This window comes from Homo sapiens, chromosome 5 (assembly GCF_000001405.40).
Source record: "Homo sapiens chromosome 5, GRCh38.p14 Primary Assembly".
Classification (NCBI taxonomy): Eukaryota; Metazoa; Chordata; class Mammalia; order Primates; family Hominidae; genus Homo; species Homo sapiens.
Window position 1 is genome coordinate 17,154,100 of NC_000005.10, and position 21,923 is coordinate 17,176,022.

The 21,923-nt window shown below is 42.7% G+C and overlaps 2 long non-coding RNA genes, 1 other non-coding gene and 1 pseudogene across 3 annotated transcripts in view, besides 1 other annotated feature; 1 reads left to right on the plus strand and 3 right to left on the minus strand.

Moving 5' to 3' along the window:
- The window catches only part of BASP1-AS1 (BASP1 antisense RNA 1), an 87,395-nt gene that overhangs the window by 24,072 nt on the left and 41,400 nt on the right, over positions 1-21,923 (minus strand). The window contains exon 2 of the long non-coding RNA NR_027253.1: positions 8,370-8,466. This is a non-coding gene — a long non-coding RNA (BASP1 antisense RNA 1). The remainder of the gene's footprint in view (positions 1-8,369; positions 8,467-21,923) is intronic.
- On the minus strand, positions 1,831-1,893 carry MIR10522 (microRNA 10522). Its single transcript, NR_162112.1, has one exon. It is a non-coding gene; the product is annotated as a microRNA 10522 (primary transcript).
- RNA5SP180 (RNA, 5S ribosomal pseudogene 180) lies at positions 2,872-2,972 on the minus strand (annotated as a pseudogene).
- LOC105374664 (uncharacterized) lies at positions 10,715-18,188 on the plus strand. Its single transcript, XR_001742614.2, has 4 exons — positions 10,715-10,801; positions 12,151-12,239; positions 16,664-16,781; positions 18,115-18,188. It is a non-coding gene; the product is annotated as an uncharacterized LOC105374664 (long non-coding RNA).
- Positions 18,701-18,995: a silencer, noted in NCBI's record as "tiled region #6771; HepG2 Repressive non-DNase unmatched - State 24:Quies". NCBI's record gives its function as "represses a minimal TATA promoter and a strong SV40 promoter by Sharpr-MPRA in HepG2 cells {active_cell/tissue: HepG2}" and the evidence as "EXISTENCE:reporter gene assay evidence [ECO:0000049][PMID:27701403]".

The following is a 21,923-nucleotide window of genomic DNA, read 5'->3' on the forward strand; positions in this document are numbered from 1 at the left end:
ATCGTGCCACTGCACTCCAGCCTGGGCAACAAGACCGACATTTTATCTCAAAAAAAAAAAAAAAAACCAAAAACCAAAAAACCTCAACTCCCACCCTCCGGCAAAAAGCAGGTGACAGTCTGGCCAGAGTAGAGGGCATAGAAGTAGAGGCTGCCATGCAGATATCAGGCTACATTGACAGCATCCACTTCACCTGTCAATTCAGCTTTCTTAACCTGCCTTCCCCTAAACATGCTTTTTGTCTTTATCGTGGTCTCTAATCCCTTGACTTATCTATTTGCAGCTAATTATCAGCCTCCTGGGGACAATTCCTTCCATATGGAGCCTGGCTCTCAGAGACAATTAGCACCTCTTCCTCTCAGGCTACTCAACTTCATTGTCTCCTTGTGTTTTTTATTTTTTCCTTTTTTTTTTTAACCACAACTTGGTGTTTCCCAGCTAAATTCAGACTATGATAACTAGAAAGAATTGCCCACCCAGGCAAACTGGTGCCACCGAAAATTAATGGAAATCTCTCTCCTCGGTTTATTTATTTATTTTGCATTCTTTTTGGTCAGGTCTTCCTTTAGTAACTCTCAGCTACAAGTCTGAACTTTTGCTCCTTCCTCAAATCACCTTCCTGATTTTACTGCTTTTATTCATAGTCAATGACTCAGTCATTCTGGATCTAGATAGAATTGTCTACACTCACTGTCTCATTCTTCAGCTTGACTCAGCATGACTTCTGGCTCCATTACTCTTCCACGTCAATCCAATGGACTTTTCTACTCTCACCTTTCTTCTTAGCAACATTCTTGAACATGTCCTCTTTCTGGAACTTTCTTGCCCCCATTTTCTGACCGTAAAGCTATCTTAGTTTTCTTCTGAACTTCCTGGTCATTTCTTCTTTCCTTTTGCAGTTTCATCATCTTCTATCTAGCCACTGATTCTTTGAGCTCCTCAAGAGTCTGTCTTGGCACCTCTCCTTTCCTCCATGTTCTGTCCATAAACAATCTTATCCTATCTATGCCTACTCTTCATATCAATAATTTGGGCTTCTCCTTTGAGATCTAGTCTTACCTGGCCAACAGTCTACTTGATATCCACTCTTGAATGTCCCAAAGGCACATTAAAATCAATATATCTAGAAGTAAATGCATGATCTTCCTTCGAAATCCAGGCTGCTTCCAGTGTACTTCATCCTGGTAATCTACCCAATTTGGGGCAGATCCTAAATGTAGGGGGCCAGCCTCAATATTCCTTCACCTTACCCTTACTGAATTTCAATAATATCTTTCTAAATATCTTTTAAAGTTATCTTCTTTTTCAATTCTCACCACTGTCACCTTTTTTGAGCTATAGTCATCTCTTTCCAGGGTTACCAAAGTAGCCTCACTAGCTTATTTTGTCCCCTCTGGATTCCTCTGGTCCATTCTCCAGGCTGCGGCTAAAGTCAACTTTTGAAAATGTATAAAATACAAATGTGATCATGTGAGCTCAGCCACCTATGCTTTTTAAAACTCATCAATGACTTCCTAGCGCTTTACTATTAAGATGAGCTTTTATGGGATGTCCTGTAAGATCCTACCTTGTCTGGTTCTACTAATGTCTCCAGGTTCGTCTTTTGTCATGCTCCACCTCACTCTTTTGCTCCGGTCACACTGACTATCTTTTGATCCAAGGACTTCCAGTACTCCCTGCTTCCACAGGGCCGTTGCATATGCCAAGCCTTCTTCCCGTCTTTCTCTTCTCATTGACTCTAACTTGTGAATTGAAATTATGCCACTTCATCAATGACAAGTTCTCCTTGTGCCAATAAGGGTTTGACTTGTGCTGAAAAAGAGTTTATAGTGAGGGGAATTGACCTATTCAGAGAGGAAGGCTTTGCTGACACCTGAGTAGGCCAATTCTTCTTACTATAAACTCTTATTGAACCATGTAATTTGACGTAGCATCTATCACAGTTGCAATTTTGCATTTACTTGTATGGGCATTTGATTAACACCTGCCACACTCCCAGCTTTTAAGTTCCAGGAGGACAAGGATGGTGGCTGTTGTGCCAGGGTATTTTGTAGGTGCTCATAGAATAGTGACCAAAAGAGTGACTTAATGAATCAATTATTTATTTTCTATTTTTTAGAGAAAAAAAGTTCCTAGGTGTGAATGCCTTCTTTTTCTAACCTAGACTTGCAGTTTCAGGGATCCGAGTGAAGACTACGATCTTTTTTTTTTTTTTTTTTTTTTTTTGACAGGGTCTCACTCTGTCACACAGGCTGGAGTGGAGGGGCATAATTGCAGCTCACTGCAGCCTCGGTGTGCTGGGTTAGCTCACTGCAGCCTCGGTGTGCTGGGTTCAAGCAATCTTCCCATCTCAGCTCCCTGAGTAGCTGGGACTACAGGTGCATACCACCACACCCGGCTAACTTTTGTATTTTTGTAGAGACAGGGTTTTGCCATGTTACCTAAGTTGGTCTTGAACTCCTGGGCTCAAACAATCAACCTGCCTAAGCCTCCCAAAGTGCGGGGATTACAGGCATGAGTCGCTGCATCCAGCCCAACTATGCTCTTAACCATATCCCCTCCCTGATCTCACTCTGATGATTACATCTGTCTCATATTTCAGTCTCTCGCTCTTGCCTTACTCCTTTCTTGCATCCATTAATATTTCAGGTTTCATTAGAAAAATACCTTCCTCAACTTTACATCTTGTCATTTTTCCTGTACAAGTGCCCCAGAATAAGTAGCTCATAGTAACTATTTCCTTTTTTCATTTTCATTGTGCTCTTAGCTACTCTTGTGACTCTTACCTTAAGAACAAATCTTGCTCTTGAACTCCAGACACTAAATAACCAATTAGTGCTTCAATATATTTACTTGCATGTTTTCAAGACTCCTGTAATTCAACCTATTATTTCTCTCATCCAAGTACTAACCAGGCCAGACCCTGCTTAGCTTCCAAGATCAAGCAGGTGTTCAAGGTGGTATGGTTATAGACGACCAATTATTTCTCCTCCAAACTTACTTCTCCTCCTGTATGCCTTTAGAACAGGTAAAAGTACTATCCTGTACTCACTTACCAAAGCTAGGGCCCTGATGGTTACCCGGGTCTCTTTCAGCTACTTCCCATCCTGGTAAGTCACCTTGCCCCATCTCTTGTGTTTTTTAAATGTTTCTGGAATGTCTGCAGAAATAGTATGGATACTCATCTTTAGCTCTTGGACTATGATGAGAGCTTCTGAGTGGTCTCCCAGGTCAGCCTGGCTCCAATTTGTCCCATATGTACACTGCTAGAGGAATCTTTCTAAAACACAAATCTGTTCTTGCACAGCTCCTTCCCCCCAGGCCTCAGCCCTTGCGTAGGCGCCCCAAACTCTCTGATTCATTGGCATAGCATGCATGTCCCCAAACGGTTATGTCTTCAGCTTCACCTCCAGCTGCTCCTTCCTTATCCCCTTTGATCTAGATGCTTCCCAGTCCTTGCTCATCTCGTAATGTCAGAATGTTGGACTGTTTCATGCTTCTGTGCCTTTTCCCAAGCAGCTGCCTCTCCACTGGACATCCTCCCTAGACCTTTGGAAGAATGGAGGACCTCTACCTGTGGTTCACGATCTTAGGTCAGTGACTGCTTGTTTTGTACAGCTATCCCTGGCCTCCCCACCTAGAACTGACCACTCTATCTACTGTGCTCCCAGTGTACCTCGTACACATTCTATTAGAGCTCATGCTGCCAGAGCTGCTACATAGGGTTGTTCAGGTTGTGAACTGCACAACTCTAAGGACCTTGTTCACGAAATGATGCATAGTGAAGACAGTCATATATCATGGCCCTGCTTTTTGGACTGTTTTTCCTTTTCTTGCTCTTAAGAATCATGGGAATGGGGAAGAAGGCATGAAAAGGTTAAGAATGTAACATGTGGAATCTACGTGTGTGGAAATGCTACATAACTCAAGAGGAATGAAGGACAGAGGGATCTGTGCTGAGTCAGGATGGTTCTGTGTGTGATGCAGGAGCTTCAGAGAGAAGCCTACGTGCTGTGCTTCAGTAGTAAATTGTGCAAGAGGCGTGGCAAGAAAAGGCTGGCTCAGTGTGGCAGACAGCACTAGAGGAGGAAGAGCGGGAAGGATGTAAGCCGACTGTTTAAACAAAAATGATCAAAACACAATTGGCCACTGAGAAGGGAGTGGAGGCTCCTTCATTTCTTCCTGGGGTTGGGACTGGTGTTGGCAGTGAGGATCTCTCAAGTAAATCTCCTCCCAGGACTGTTTCCTGCCACGCATGGATCGGGACAATCACTGCTGGAGCTTGGGTGGGTCACTTGCTTATATGCTTGTCCCCACTAGGCTGAGAGCTTCATTAGGGCCAGGGATTGAGACTTTTGATCTTAAATCACCAGCCTCTTACATGGTACTTTGGTCCACTATGGGCCCTCCACATCCTTCCTAGCCAGAGGGGACAGAGGAAAGAAAAGGGAGTTCGTGGACTTCAACAAAATCACAATAATAATAACAGTCAACACAAATATAGTCCCATGAATATAGTTTACCATGTGCCTGGCACCTTTTTTTTTTTTTTTTTTTTTTTGAGATGGAGTCTTGCTCTGTCACCAGGCTGGAGTGCAGTGGCGCGATCTTGGCTCACTGCAAGCTCCGCCTCCCGGGTTCAAGCAATTCTTCTGCCTCAGCCTCCTGAGTAACTGGGACTACAGGCGTGCACCATCATGCCTGGCTAATTTTTTTATTTTTAGTAGAGACGGGGTTTCACCATGTTGGCCAGGATGGTCTCGATCTCTTGACCTTGTGATCCGCCCGCCTTGGCCTCCCAAAGTGCTGGGATTACAGGCGTGAGCCACCGCTTGCTGGGCACCTTTCTAAATGCCTTATCTATATCAGCTAATTTTAGCCTTGTATGTAGGAATTATAATAATTCTCATTTCACAGCTAAGGAAACTGATGCTAGAGACATTAAGGCACCTGCCCAAGACGATACAGCTAATAAGTAGTGGAGGCAGGATTCAAGCACACGGAGTCTGTCTCTAGAGCCTGTCCTTTACAAGGCTGTTCTGTGCCCCACCTATTGTGATGGCAGTTTTAATCCGAAGAGAGGTTAAGCATTTTAAATGAGGCTTCTGTGCACTTCGTGCCTTGGATTCAAGTGAGTTTTTTCTTATTTTCTCCTTTGAGAAAATGTGTTTATTTAGTTTTGTGCCTTGGAAACCTCTATTTGTTGTTGTTTTGTTGTTGTTGTTTTCTTGTTTCTGAGACAGGGTCTCACTCTGTCACCCAGGCTGGAATGCAGTGGCGCTATCAAGGCTCACTACAGCCTTGGCTACCCGGGTTCTGGTGACCCTCATACCTCAGCCTCCCGACAGTCGGGACTATAAGTGTGTGCCACCAGGCCCGGCTAATTTTTGTATTTTTTGTAGAGATGAGGTCTCACGATGTTGCTCAGGCTGGTCTCGAACTCCCGGGATCCAGCAATCCTCCTACTTCAACCTCCCAAAGTATTGGGATTACAGGCATGAACCGCTGTGCTTAGCTTCCAGTCTTTTTTTTTGTTTTGACGTTGCTGCTGGGGAGACGAGGCTAGGAGCTACCTACCTTCCCATCTCGGAGAACACCTGGGATTTTCTGGGTAACATGTTTTAAAGATTTAGTATAAGATTTTCTCTTTTCATGTGTTGTAAGGACAGTGGATGAAACTTATTTTTCTCTAGCTATGCTTTTAAAATTTTTCTTCTTTGCCTTTTGTGAATTCAGCCATTTTAAAATTTGGTTCTACTTTGTCATCTCACCCCAGAGTCAAATAACTGTATTTCTTCCAGAAACATTCATAATTTAATTTTTCTTTTAACTTAGCTGTATTTCTCTCACCTGTGGAGAGACTTGAAACACTTAGTTATAATATAAAGTCTGCGAGTCTGAAGCTTTCTGGCAAAAGGCAAAAAAAATTCACACCTGGCTTGCATTTGATGAGGATTCCACATGCGTCATCATTTTCTTTGAATTCCCCATGGGAGTTTAAATATATACATGTTAGCATTTTTGTAGTGTACGTTAATAAATGAGAGCTTTGATTGTTTCTTATTGCAGCTCTGAGGGAAAAAACAGGCATTGCAGTTAACATGACCTGTAGCAACAACAACTACAGCCAGTTTCAATTCTTTTTTTTTTTTTGAGATGAAGTCTCACTCTGTCGCCCAGGCTAGAGTGCAGTGGTGCGATCTTGGCTCACTGCAGTCTCCACCTCCCGAGTTCAAGTGATTCTCCTGCCACAGCTTCCCGAGTAGCTGGGATTACAGGCACGGGCCACCACGCCCCGCTAATTTTTGTATTTTTAGTAGAGATGGGGTTTCACCATGTTTGCCAGGCTGGCCTTGAACTCCTGATGTCAAGTGATCCACCCACCTCAGCCTCCCAAAGTGCTGGGATTACAGGTGTGAGCCATCAGACCTGCCTCATTTTTGGATTTAGATCTTAAAGAATAGTTAGGGTTTTGTGTGTGTGTGTGTGTTTGACAGGATCTTGCTCTGCTGACCAGGATAGAGTACAATGGCACACTCATAGCTCACTGTAACCTTGAATTCCTGGGGCTCAGTGGAGCCTCTTGCTTCAGTCTTCTGAGTAGCTGGGACTACAGGCATGCACCACCATGCCCGGATAATTTTTTAATTTCATTTTTTGTAGAGATAGGATCTCACTATGTTGCCTAGGCTGGCCTTGAGCTTCTGGGCTCGAGCAATCCTCCAGCTTTGGCCTCTCTGAATGCTGGGATTACAGGCATGAACCACTGTGCCCTGACAAAATATTTAGTTTAAAATAATTCCTTTCTGTCCCCACCCCTAGGTGTTTTCCAGTTATGTAGGTGGTTAGCCTGAGGATGTGAATGCCGGTCTGTGCTACTCTTCTTAAAGGTATTGTCTTCCTGAAGGCATGCTAGATTCTCAGATTTCTTCTCTTCTAAAAATAGAACAGTGTGCTCTTACAATAATTTAACCTACACTTACATGTTATGAATGAAAAGTCCGGGCCAGGCGCGGTGGCTTACGCCTGTAATCCCAGCGCTTTGGGAGGCCGAGGCAGGTGGATCACGAGGTCAAGAGATCGAGACCATCCTGGCCAACATGGTTAAAACCTTGACTCTACTAAAAATACAAAAATTAGCTGGGCGTGGTGGCACGTGCCTGTAATACCAGCTACTCAGGAGGCTGAGGCAGGAGAATCACTTGAACCCGGGAGGCGGAGATTGCAGTGAGCTGAGATCGGACCACTGCACTCCAGCCTGGCAACAGATCGAGACTCCGTCTCAAAAAAAAAAAAAAACAAAAAAAAAAACGAATGAAAAGTCCATGAAGTCCATGGATTTCTGCCCTTAGTTCTCTCTAAATTGTATTTAGTTTGATTTTAAAAGGCCCAAAAAAAGATGCATGGTGTTAAAATTTCAGTTGCAGAACTTGGGATTTGGTATATTTTCAGGGGTAGGAATAGAACCCCATTTCCTAAGAGTTTATAAAGAGTTGAGTAACAGTATTTTTCTAGGATTAAGTAAAGTCCTGTTTGGAAGTAAGTTTGTGAATTAACTATGAATTAGATATGGCTGGGTTTCAAATATAGGGTATTCTAGTCAATTGAGTCTATAAATCACTTGTACTTGTCAAGCCACATGTCTCAATTTCTAGTTTGGAAAATATGGTCGCTATATTAGTTTACTAGGGTTGCCATAACCAAACACCACAAACTGTGTGGCTTAAGCAATAAAAATCTATTTCTCACAATTATGGAGGTTGAAAGTCCAAGATTAAGGTGTTGGCAGCTTCGGTTTCTTCTGAAACTGCTCTTTGACTTACAGATCATTACATTTCCTCTATGTCCTCACATGATCTTCTGTGTCTCTGTCCTGATATTCTTTTCTTATACGAACACCAGGCATGTCAGATTAGAGCCCAATATAAGACTTCATTTTACTTTAATTACTTCTTTTTTTCTTTTTCTTTTTTTTTTTTTGAGACGCAGTCTTGCTGTGGCTCCAGGCTGGAGTGCAGTGGCGCGATCTCGGCTCACTGCAACCTCCACCTCCCAGGTTCAAGCTGTTCCCCTGCCTCAGCCTCCTGAGTAGCTGGGACTACGGGCGTGCACCACCATACCTGGCTAATTTTTTTTGTATTTTTAGTAGAGACGGGGTTTCACCCTGTTGGCCAGGATGGTCTCGATCTCCTGACCTCGTGATCCGCCCGCCTCAGCCTCCCAAAGTGTTGGGATTACAGGCGTGAGCCACCGCACCTAGCCTAATTACTTCTTTAAAGGCCTGTACTAGTCTGTTCTGTTCTCACATTGCCATAAAGAACTACCTGAGACTGGATAACTTATAAAAAGAAGAAGTTTAATTGACTCACTGTTCTGCAGGCTATACAGCAGGCATGGCTGGGGAGGCCTCAGGAAGCTTACAATCATGGTGGAAGGTAACAGGGAGGCAGGCACGTCTTCACATGGCTGGCAGGAGAGAGGGAGGGTGAAGGGAGAGGTATTACACACTTTCAAGCAACTACATCTCCTGTGAACTCTGTCATGAGACAGCACTGAGAGGATGGTGCTAAACCATTAGAAACCACCCACATAATCCAATCACCTCCCACCAGGCCCACCTCTAACACTGGGGATCACAGTTCAACATGAGATTGGGGTGGAGACACAGAGCCAAACCATATCAAGGCCCTATCTCCAAATACAGTTATAGTCTGAGGCACTGCAGGTTAGGGCTACAATATATGAATTGTGATGAGGGGGACATAATTCAGCCCATAACAGTCCCTATGGGACTGGTCATATTGTAGCCTCCAGTGAACTTGAACTTTTTTGGGTCATTATGGCCCTACTCAGTGTGGCTTAAGAACACTTAAGAACAATGACAACCTCAAGGGGTTGACACATTACTCGATACTATGAAAGAATAATAAGTATTTTAATCCCAGAAAAAATAAAAATAACTATAATAATATAAATAAAATAATATTATATAATAAACATAAGAAGCCCAAGTGCCTCTAGATAATAAATAGCTTAGGCTAAAAACAGAATATTAGGTTACCAACTAGAATAAATGACATTTCACTACTTACTAATTAAAGTTTGTTAAGTGATCCGTTAATATTTTTTCATCACCCATTATAAGGCAAGCACTTTGCTTTGCTAGGAGAAATGAATATCTTCTGCCTCCTGTTTCTGAGGAGTTCCTAGTTCAGGATCTCATCCAGATACAGCAGGATCACATATCTGAGGCAACCAGATGTCCACTGGGCTATCTGCCACTCCCTTCTTAGACCTAAATCATATCTGCTCAAACTCCTTGTCCATCAGACAGTGAAAGTTCAATGAGTTTGCCAAAATTTCTGGATATTCCTATCACACTCCCAGTCACCTCTGTTTTCTGCTTCCAGCTTCTGCTGAATTTTTGTTCTCCACTCTCTGTCCTGCAGCTGTTCCTTCCTTTTTTCCATGGAGTCAACACAATTGTGGGACACAACCCTGGATTGTTTGCTCTTTCCATGAAAATACGATGCACATGATGCAGCTCTCTGTGGTAAAGTTTTGCTGGCAATTTGATGACAAGGAAGGCATACTGCAGAACCATAGAGCAATTCATCTAAACTTGAACAACAGACTCCCCTATACTTCAAACTGTTACTTGGGGGTTTCCACCAACTCTAATTTCATTCTATCACTCTTGGTTTTTTTTTCTGAGACAGAGTCTCGCTGTGTCACCCAGGCTCCAGTGCAGTGGCGTGATCTTGGCTCACTGCAACCTCCACCTCCTGGGTTCAAGTGATTCTTGTGCCTCAGCCTCCTGAGTAGCTGCTACTACAGGAGCATGGCACTGTGCCTGGCTCATTTTTGTATTTTTAATAGAGACGGGGTTTCACCATGTTGCCGAAGGCTGGTCTTGAACTCCTGACCTCAGGCGATCCACCTGCCTCAGCCCCCCAAAGTGCTGGGGCATGAGCCCCATTATAGGCATGAGCCGTGCCTGTCCTCCACCACTATTGTGATGAGGACTCTTTCTGAACTCCCTGTTCCTGCTCCTTTTCCTTCTCTCCTCTTTTTCCTCCATTCTCCGCTTTCCCTCACCTGCCTCATTCCATCCATCGAATTCTCTTTTATTAATTAAGCAAAGCTGCTGAACTCTATTTTGGTAGTTTGCTTCCAAATTCCATCCTTAAGACCTCATCTTCTGCCCCTTATACGTAGTGTCATCCCCAAGGTGAAATGCTAGAGCTAGCTAGGAAAAATGAGCTTTCTGAACTAGAGACTCATGCAAAGCCATGAAACGTTTGCATCTAAGCAACATAAACAAGAAGATTTGTACAAATTCTGTGGAAATTTAGGATAAGATGTGAACGTCCTGTAGCCATTTCTGCAAATGTTTGAGCCTTGTCACATGAGGAGGTGACTCTTTCACAGGATCTTGAAGCATGAGAAGGAAAGACGACCCCCAACCTCACCCATTCTACGTGGAGGGAGTAGCGTAAGGGGATGAAGAACAAATGGCTGGAGCGCAGGGTCCTAGCGGTAGAAGACTGGGAAGTAAAGGGCAGAAAGTGGCTGTGGCTAAATTACTGATAGCCAGTGTAGGTTTGAATGGCAAAGCTTCAATTAGAGTTTTTACTTGTTTCACCTTTAACAGAATTTTCTGCAAAAGGCAGAGGCAGCTGACATCTTCAAAAGTTTAAGCCTTTCTACAGCAAAACTGCAGCAGCTCTATTACATTGAAACAGAAGGATGATGGGAGGGAAATTCCTTTGGGTTCTTTGCTTGCCTATCAAGAGGACATGTAAGTCTCACAGGTTTTCCTGGATTCTTGGTTTCTAAAGAACGTATCTAAGGAAAAAAACATATCTAAAGGATACGTTTTTATTAAAAAGGCAAAATCATGATTTCCATGAAAATGAACATGTGTAAAAGCTTTTATTTAACTCACCAATTAATGAGATAATTAGTAAGATGTTACAATTGATTCAAAGGAAAATTCAAATAACACATATTTAGGCAATCAGGAATGCTAAAATGAATCTTAAAAATGGATGCAAAACTGGTCAGTGTTCATAGGGCAGTATTATTGGTTGTATTCCAGTGAAAAAAATTCATTTGCATTTCTGTGGACAAGAATCATTTGCATTATCTTTAGTTTTCTACAACTTAGAGAGTTGTAAAATAGCTCAAAGACAATGAAAACTGCAGGCCCTTGTAGAATCAGATAATCTTGAAGGGCATGCTACCCAGGAGACACCTGTAAGTTTATTTATAACTTGCCCATTCAACGTCTTTCACAAGTTGTCCTTACCTTGGTAAATAGGCAGATCGTATGGGCCTGCCTTGATGAAATTAGAAGAATGAAATTTTCTGGCTTTTCTTCACTTTGAGGTCAAGTAGTTTGCTCAAAGTTTTCAAGTGGTTGACACAGAATGATACTTTATTTGGGACAGGATCCATCCCATTCTCTCCTCCTGAACTTTCTTTTGTGAAGCTTCTCCTTCTGTATATTCTTAGTGTTCTGGGTCCTTTGCTTTGATCAGTGATTTTTTTTTTCTTTCTTTCTTTCTTTTTTTTTTTTTTTGAGACGCAGTCTCGCTCTGTAGCCCAGGCTGGAGTGCAGTGGTGTGATCTCGACTCACTGCAACCTCCACCTCCTGGGTTCAAACAATTCTCCTGCCTCAGCCTCCTGAGTAGCTGAGACTACAGGTGCGTGCCACCATGCCAAGCAAATTTTTATATTTTTAGTAGAGATGGGGTTTCACCATGTTGGCCAGGGTGGTCTCGATCTCTTGACCTTGTGATCCACCCGCCTCGGCCTCCCAAAGTGCTGGGATTACAGGCGCCCAGCCTGATAGGTGATTTTTACTTAGCATTGTAGATATTTCTTCCCTGAATCTTATCACCATCAGCCCATGCCTTTCTCTGTCATTATGCTGGGCAGGTCACAAAAGCAAATTTAGATCAATTATATGCTCTAGAAGAGTAACACAAACAGCCTTCTTCTATTTTATAACAGTTATACACACTATGATTTATACTCACTATCAATATTTCCATAACACCATGTAACTAGAAGTAGAGTCATGACAAAATAGGTGAAAAAGCCTTTAATGATTTGAGGAATTTTTGCTATTTCTTTTACAATAGCAGTCAAAAATGCCAGTCTGAGGAGTTTGAATTTAATCCTGTGATTCAGTGATCCCAAAGGCGCTGTGTCTTCTCAAAAGATGCAAAAGGTAATCCAGTTGGGAGTGGGCAAATATATTACAACTATTTGAATTTTATCTCATACTTTCATTAAAATTTAGTTTTTAAATTTATCTGCAGTAAAATTGAGTTTTTTTAATTGGTGTATAGTTTTCTGGATTTTAACACAAACATATAAGTTATTGCAACCTATTATAATAACATCACTATAATCAGGACATACAACAGTTTCATTACCCCTCCTCAATGACACAAGAGATCATGCCACACTTTTTTTTTTTTTTTTTTTTTTGAGACAGAGTCTCGCTTTGTCGTCCAGGCTGGAGTGCAGTGGCGTGATCTCGGCTCACTGCAAGCTCTGCCTCCTGCGTTCATGCCATTCTCTTGCCTCAGCCTCCCGAGTAGCCGGGACTACAGGCACACGCCACCACGCCTGGCTAATTTTTTGTATTTTTAGCAGAGACAGGGTTTCACCGTGTTAACCAGGATGGTCTTGATCTCCTGACCTCGTGTTCTGCCCACCTCGACCTCCCAAAGTGCTGGGATTACAGGCGTGAGCCACCACGCCTGGCCCATGCCACACTTTTAAATTTATATTTGTATATATATATAATTTTACAATATGCAAAATATATTAGCAAAGTAATGCATGTTTATAATTTTTAAATAATCCCATTTTAGAGGTGTGTGCTCAAATGTTTTTACTAAGAGAGGCATATGGATATCAGCTAAACTTTTGTTTAAGAAGATAATTAGGCAACTGAGCTAAAACAGAGAACCTGGAGGTTGGTGGACAAAGTAGGAGATGATTGTAATTCCTCAAGCAAGACATGCTGAAGGCCTAGACTAATGAGTGTCAGAGGAGGAAAGATGGATTTCAAAGACTTCTCCGAGGCGGGGTTGGGGAGGTGTTGGTAAATAGATGTGAGCATGAAGGAGAGGGAGAAATTCAGTTTAAATGTCAGGTTTGCTACGTGGAAAGCAGGGTTGGTGGTGGTAGCATTCATGGGGAACTTGACTGACTATAGAAGGCAGAGCTGATTTATGAACTGGGGAGAAACCATGATGTCATGATTTACATGATTTCATGTAAATGATGTGGAATAGTTTAGGTGATGGGATGCATATTGGAATTACCTTTTGGATTTATGCTAGATTATTCTAGCCAGTTGGAGCAGGTAAAAGATGCCTAGGCTCGTTTCCTATCTGTCATATAATCACCTCACACTCCTGGAAATGGGCTTTAAAAGGGACATTTCTTAATCCTTCTGAAAAATTGTAGTTCAGACTTTGGCCAATTAAACCTCAGGGGTGCTCTCAACTGGAAAACCACTTGGCACAGGGCAGTCAAGAACTGCTGTTAGTGGTCAGTGCCTGTTCTATCTTAACTCCTTCCCTGCTGAGAGGTCAGCTGGACTCCAGCAAAGGCCTGGATATGCATGAAAAAGGATGAGGGGTGAGGATGGAGAGGTGCATCTGTTCATCTGAGCATTCCCCTGTTTAGCTCTATAGCCAGGTCTGAGGCTATCATGGGCAAAAAAGGAAACCCAGAAGGGCCTTGAGCTTATTTTAAAGTCAAAGTGAAAGACTATAGAGTCTTAATTATGAGTTGATATCATTTCAGAAACTTTTCTCTTGTAGCCTTTTTGAGCAGTGGTCTCTCATGTTACAGGGGAGGCCTGTACCCCTAAAAGTATGCAAGAAAATTGGATACAGATGTATTCTTTAATCTGAAAAAAAATAAAGAAGACACTAAGCTTTACTGATACTTACACATGACTGAGAGCAAGCAGTTCACGTGTAGAGTTGATAAATAAGTGTCATACTGGGGATGCCTGGTCAGAAATCTTTTACTGATAGGGCCACATGACCCAGAAAGTTTGGGCTTTAATGGTGTATCAGAGAGATGAGAAGCAGGCAGGCTAGATAGAAGCAGATAGGTTTTTGCAAGTGAGAGGAGAGGGGGCAGTCGGGACAGTGAGATAAAGAGGAAGAGGCAGAGGGGATGGTATTTAGGAGGTAAATTCTACAGGATTTGGTGACTGATGATTGATGAATTTTGAGTGAATCTTTGATAAGACACCCCGCCATGAAAAACAATTTTGTCTCCTTAGTGCTTCTAGAGACCTGCCATCATTTCTGTGATGGCAAAATTATCTACCTAGTTATTTGTCAGTCTTCTTCCTCTCTCCAAATGCCTTTGGAGTTGTATCTCCAGTAATTTAGTGGATACTAAATACATGTTGCTATGTGAATATTACATGAAATGTTTTAACAGCTCAAAATATGGAAGATAAACTTTTTTTTTTTTTTCCTGAGATAGGGTCTTGATCTGTCGCCCAGGCTGTAGTGCAGTGGCGCAATCTCAGCTCACAGCTCACTGCAATTTCCACCTCCCGGGGTCAAGCGATTCTCCTGCCTCAGCCTCCTGAGTAGCTGGGACTATAGGCATGTGCCACCATGCCTGGCTAATTTTTATATTTTTAGTAGAGATGGAGTTTCCCCATGTTGGCCAGGCTGCTCTCAAACTCCTGACCTCAGGTGATCCACCCACCTCGGTCCCAAAGTGCTGGGATTATAGGTGTGAGCCTGCACCTGGCCTAAGAAACATTTTTGAATTAGAGAGCGTTCTTGGCTAGACTCTGTGGCTCACGCCTGTAATCCCAGCACTTTGGGAGGCCAAAGAGGCAGGATTGCTTGAGCCCAGGAGTTCAAGACCAGCCTGGGCAACATGGCAAGACCCTGTCCATAGAAAAAATTTTAAAAATTAGCTGAGTGTGGTGGTGCGTGTCTATGGTCCCAGCTACTGGAAGCTGAGGCAGAAGGGTCACTTGAGCCTGGGAAGTTGAGGCTGCAGTGAACCATGTTTGTGCCACTGTACTCCAGCCTGGGTGACAGAGCAAGACTCTGTCTAAAAAAAAAAAAGAGAGAGAGAGAGTGTTTCATATAATTGTAGGTTTTTATTTCAATAAAATAATCATGCATTATGATATGACGTGGACTCAGGGATCTTAACACCAGCCTTAGGATTCTGCATTACAATTTGGAAATTACTAGGGATTTGTCAATGACTACTGTTTGAAATTTACATGGTGATAAAGGACATTATTTTACTACCTGCAAGTATAAGAGTCAACATTAACCATGAAAGTTATTTTCTCCTTACGAAAATATAAAAGTCAAAATTAGCCATAAAAGTTATTTCCAAAGCATTTCCTTTTGAACATGCAAGGAATGCTGACTATTCAACAAACAGTAGTTGCATAAAGAAGATTTTTGGTCCCATGATCTGGCTGAAGCTTTGCACAAACAGCTGCTTATCTCATGAATGGAATTTCCTGTTAATATTCTTGCAGGCTAATTGTTCATCAAAAGTACAACAAATGTCAACAAACATCAGAAACGTGTTACATCTTAATATTTACAAGACAGCAGAAATAGTTCAGATGTTTAACTTGGTTGAGCTTAAAAGGCAAGAGTGCAATCTTTAGCCCTTGTCACAAACTAGTCTTGACGGGATTAATGCTATTCACATAAACCATTTGTTTTAAATGCCCTCTTTCCTGTTAATTTACAACAACATATGGCTTAAGATAGCACAGGATAAGGGAAGAAACAAAACTGTAACTTCAAACAGTATAGTTGAAAGCACCTTTGTTTTGAATGGATTTCATAGACTTTTCATCCCAACTACATATGGAAATAAATTTTCTTAGAATAAAAATGCTTCAAATGGACTCTTAGGCTGGGCGTGGTGGCTCACGCCTGTAATCTCAGCCCTTTGGGAGGCCGAGGCAGGAGGATCTCTTAAGGTCAGGAGATCAAGACCATCCTGGCCAACATAGTGAAACCCCGTCTCTACTGAAAATACAGAAATTAGCTGGGCATGGTGGTGAATGCCTGTAATCCCAGCTACTCAGGAGGCTGAGGCAGGAGAATCGCTTGAACCCAGGAGGTGGGGGTTGCAGAGAGCTGAGATCACACCACTGCACTCCAGCTTGGGTGACAGAGCAAGACTCCGTATCAAAAAAAAAAAAAGGACTCTTAAATCCCGTGGCAGCAACCACAAAGATATCCACTTGTTTCAGTGAGAGGTGGGTTTCGTAGGGTAGAGGTCCCAGAAGTAGGAAGTAATATCATCAGACCACCAGGGTTCGGATCAGAGGTGAAATTTAGAATCAGTAGAGACTTCCTGAAACACAGACAACAGATTTTTTTTTATAAGGCATTTCCAGGTTTTTGTCTTTTTTTCTCTCAGTGAAAGTAGCATTTTTCACTGAGGTGTCAATTCAGGAGCTGTTTCAGGAAGGTGCTCAGGGAAGATATTTTAGTACAACACTCCGGCCTCCTTCATAATACTAATCACGCCCTATTTTCCTTTCCTTAGCCCTAACAAACTCAGAGTGCTGAAACACTGGAAGCCAGCTACAGGTCTTTTTCCTTTCTCTTCCAGATGGTATGCATCTTGTTCCTCTTTCAGACACAGGTGAAAATTGAAGTTTCTAGAAACTGGAGTTTCCTTCTCATCTTGTTGGCATCTTCCCCTGGGGAGAGGGGTAATACCTCCACAGGTACTGGGAGCCACTTTTTGGGTTATAAGGAGGGAAGTTTAGTTAGCCCCACCTCTGCCGTCTTGTCTATTCCTGTACAGTTTTAGGCAGGAAATGTCTCCATTGGATATTTGTGTTTAGTCTTTTTTTTTTTCTTTTGAGACGGAGTCTGGCTCTGTTTCCTGGGCTGGAGTGCAGTGGCACGATCTCAGCTCACTGCAGCCTCCGCCTCCTGGGTTCAAGTGATTCTCCTGCCTTAGCCTCCCATGTAGGTGGGACTACAGGCACGTGCCACTATGCCTGGCTAATGTTTGTATTTTTTTTTAGTAGAGATGGGGTTTTGCCATGTTGGCCAGGCTGGTCTTGAACTCCTGGCCTCAAGTGGTTTACCAGCCTCGGCCTCCCAAAGTACTTGGGATTATAGGCGCGAGCCACTGCACCCAGCCCTGGCTAATTTTTTTGAAAAGTTTTTCTGTAGGTTGGATATAGTGGCTCAATCCTGTAATTCCAGCACTTTGGGAGGCGGAGGCAGGAGGAACACTTGAGGCCAGGGGTTCGAGACCAGCCTGGGTAACATGGTGAAACCCTGTCTTTACTAAAAATACAAAACATCTTGGATCGCTTGAGCCTGGGAGGTCAAGGCTGCAGTGAGCTGTTACCGTGTTGCTGCACTCTGGCCTGGGTGGCAGAATGAGACCCAGTCTCAAAAAAAAAAAAATCATATCTATATCTATATATGTATACACACACACACACACACACACACACGTGTAGAGACAGGGTTTTGCCATGTTGCCCAGGCTGTCTCGAACTCTTGAACTCCTGGGGCTCAAGCACTCTGCTCACCTCAGCCTCCCAAAGTGCTGGGATTACAAGTGTAAGCCACCATGCCTGGCCTGTTTAGTTTTTTTTGTTTTTTGTTTTTTCTTTTTGAGACGGAGTCTCGCTTTGTCGCCAGGCTGGAGTGCAATGGGGCAATCTTGGCTCACTGCAGCCTCTGCCTCCTGGGTTCAAGCAATTCTCCTGCCTCAGCCTCCTGAGTAGCTGGGATTACAGGCGCCTGCCACTATGCTCGGCTAATTTTTTTGTATTTTTAGTAGAGACGGGGTTTCACCACATTGGCAGGATGATCTTGATCTCCTGACCTTGTGATCCACCCTCCGTGGCCTCCCAAAGTGCTGGGGTAAGGCTGGCATTGTAATTTTGATATAAAAGAAATACAAATTAAAAAATAAAAGGCATGAAGAAGGTTAAATTTTAATTGGGAGTATTGGTACGAATCTGTAATTTCAGTGTATGCATAGCTCCTAGTCTTGATTTAAAGTGTTTATCTGTGCATGTATTCCTAATCAAGGAACCTAGAGGTGATGGTGTCCAGTAGCCATGAGATACCTGCTGCCCAGAATGGGTTTCTAAAGGCTATTAAAAGGAACCAGATCTCTTGGAGAATGGCTGATCCTAGGCTTGATTCAAGGAAAGTTCAAGGTGAGAATGGGAATCTTACCATGCCAGAAAGCAAAAAAGTGTCAAAAGCCAATGAAGTCATGTCGAAAGGTTAAGGACTAGCTTGACAGCCTTCCCACCAGGGAAGAATTTTAGAAGAATTTGAGCATTATTAAGAATGATAAATGTTAGTGATTGTAAAATGTGGAGTAAATAAAAATATCTACATCTGTAGTTATAAAAAAGAAAGGAAGAATGAGAAAAAGAGGAGGTCTGGAAGTAACTACTGTAAAACTCTTTCCTCTGGAAATGGGTAACGATGTGGAAAAATTAGCATTTACTCTGCCTTTATAAACCAATCAGTGGTTCATCTCAAGTTGATGAGGAAATGCTTCTCATCATGGGAGAATGCCAGCTAAGAAATATAAAGGATGACAGAATTTAAAAACAATTATTCAACTCTCATATGCTATGGGGAGAAACACAAGATGGTCCAGCCACCATGAAAAAGAATTTAGCAGTTTCTTATGAAGTTAAACACACATTTACTAAACAACTTAGTGATTCTACTTCTAAGTATTTACCCAAGTGAAATGAAAACTTTAGTTCACACAAAGGCCTGGAAGAGAATGTTTCTACGACTTTATTTGGAATTGCTCCAAACTGAACACAACCCATCTGTCCTTCAATTTGGGAATTTGGGACTGAATAAACAAGCTGGCATACAATGGAACACAATGGAATACGTGGAATACGGTTCAGTAATAAAAAGGAAAAAACTGCTGATGCATAGAACAACATGGAGGGATCTCAAATGCATTGTGCTAAGTGAAAAAAAAAACCAGACTCAAAAGGCTGTACAATGTATAATTCTAGGTGTGTGACATTCTGGAAAAAGCAAATCTAACAGGACAGAAAAAAGATCAGTGGCTGCCAGGGGCTGGGGCTGGGCGAGAGTTGACATGGAGGAATTTGGAGGGGATAGTGGAACTGCTCTATATCTTTTTTTTTTTTTTTTTGAGATGGAGTCTTGCCCTGTCGCCAGGCTGGAGTGCAGTGGCATGATCTTGGCTCACTGCAACCTCTGCCTCCCAGGCTCAAGTGATTGCCTTGCCTCAGCCTCCCAAGTAGCTGAGTCTACAGGCATGCATCACCACTCCTGGCTAATTTTTTGTATTTTAGTAGAGACAGGGTTTCACCACGTTGGCCAGGATGCTCTCGATCTCCTGACCTCGTGATCTGCCCACCTTGGCCTCCCAAAGTGCTGGGATTACAGGTGTGAGTCACCTGCTCTATATCTTAATGGTTGTGGTGGTTACGTGAATGTATACATTTGTCAAGACCTGAAAAACTACAGAACAGAGGGTGAATTTTTACTGCCGTGTAAGTTATTTCTTAATAGAAAGTAAAACTATGATCATTTTTTTCCATTTCCAACCAAATAATTATTTCAGACAAAGTCATCAATGGGTGGCAAAACTACTAGGTGAAATTTCATTGGGGAAACAGTATATTCATGTGCCAGACTATCACAGGTTCCTGGCTAATTGCAAATAAAAAAAATATTGTAATGGAAAGATAGGATGGCCATTCCTTTCATCAAGTGATTAAGTTCAGCATCAGTAATAGTATGACAGATGGACAACATGTACTATCTGATGTGATGGGAAGTACCCATCTCCTATGAACTGTACTTGCCTCAAATGCTTAATCTGAATATAAATTCACTAGACTTAAACTTCAGTTTACAGGACCAAGTGGGAAAACACACTCAAGTTAAATGCCACCATGAAGAGACAGTCAGACCAAGATAGATTGTCGACTATTCTATAAGAGAGCTGTTGGCCCAGGCATGGTGGCTCATGCCTGTAATCCTAGCACTTTGGGAGGCCGAGGGGGGTGGATCACGAGGTCAGAAGATTAAGACCATCCTGGCCAACATGGTGAAACCCCGTTTCTACTAAAAATACAGAAATTAGCTGGGCATGGTGGCGGGTGCCTGTAGTCCTAGCTACTCGGGAGGCTGAGGCAGGAGAATCACTTGAACCTTAGAGGCAGAGGTTGCAGTGAGCCGAGATCTCACCACTGAACTCCAGCCTGGCAACAGAGCAGGACTCTCAAAAAAAAAAAAAAAAAAAAAAAAAAAAAGGCTGGCCTGTTTAAAAAGTCAAAATAAGAAGTAAGTAAATAAGAAGGTCGGGTGTGGTGGCTCATGCCTGTTATCCCAGCACTTTGGGAGGCTGAGGCGGGCGGATCACCTGAGGTCAGGAGTTTGAGACTAGCCTGGTCAACGTGGTGAAACCCCGTCTCTACTAAAAATAAAAAAGTAGTCGAGTGTGGTGGTGCATGCCTGTAATCTCTTCTCTTATTAAATAGTTCCGTGCTTAAACTTAGGGGTCAAACGTCATGCCTGCAAATTATTTTCAAATAGTTCAGTCGTATCTGTCTTCTATCTGTCTATCTATCTATCATCTATCTACTTACCCATCTAGTGTATTGCAAAATATTCACAATTATAATGGATCTACAGATTTGCATGTATTATTTGTCCAATTCTTGATATTAAAATTTTTTATAACAAAAACTAGGGAAAAAAATTAATACCAGATGCCACTCCAGACTAAATAAATCAGGATGTACTGGGGACAGGACCTAAGCTGCAGCACTTTTAAAAAGATCTCCAGATGCGTTTTTTAAAAAAAAACAAAAACAAAAACGTAAAATGACCATTTTATTTGGCTCCTGGATTCTGTTGGTCGGGAATTGAGACAGGGCAAATAGGTGATGATTTGTCTTTGTTCCACGATGTCTGGGGCCTCAGTTGGGGTGTGGTGGTGCCTGGGGTCTGGGGTCATCTTGGATGTATCTTCACACACATGTCTGGCAGTTGAGCCTGGCTGCTGGCTGGAACCTTAGCTGGGCTGGTGGCCAGAACACCTCCCTGTGGCCTCTGCATGAGGTCTCCCTGCAGAGCCTCCTGGTGATTTTAATGTGAAGTCAGAATTTTCCCAAACTTGAGCAATCGTTAGAATTACCTGAAGCATTTATTGAAATTCAGATTTCCTGGCCGGGTGTCATGGCTTATGCCTGTAATGCCAGCACTTTGGGAGGCCGAGGCGGGTGGATCACCTGAGGTCAAGAGTTCAAGACCAGCCTGGCCAACATGGTGAAACCCCGTCTCTACCAAATATATAAAAATTAGGCAGTCTTGGTAATGGGCGCCTGTAGTCCCAGGTACTCGGGAGGCTGAGGCAGGAGAATCGCTTGAACCCTGGAGGCAGAGGTTGCAGCGAACTGAGATTGCGCCACTGTACTCCAGCCTGGGCGACAGAGTGAGACTGTATCTCCAAAAAAAAAAAAAATTCAGATTTCCTGATATCTTTTCTGGGTCTGGGGTGAAGCCTATTAAAGTTAAAACTCACTTTCTAAGAGAAAGGGAAGTTTGAAAAGCGTTGACCTAGGGTGTCAGCCCCGCAGTTCTTTTAAGGTTCCAGATTTGTCCAGACATCATGTACCAACTACCATAGAAAATGGGAAATGTCACATAATGCTGTTCTATTTCTGAAACTTTGTCCCAGACTATTCCTTTGATTTCTAGTTTATCTTGCTGCCTACAGCTTTGTCTTTTCCTTTGCTATGAATATGATTCTCCGAAGGTTATTTATGTGGGTCTTGCTGCTCTAGTTAAAACACTTGTCTCACTTGACTATGCCTTTGGAA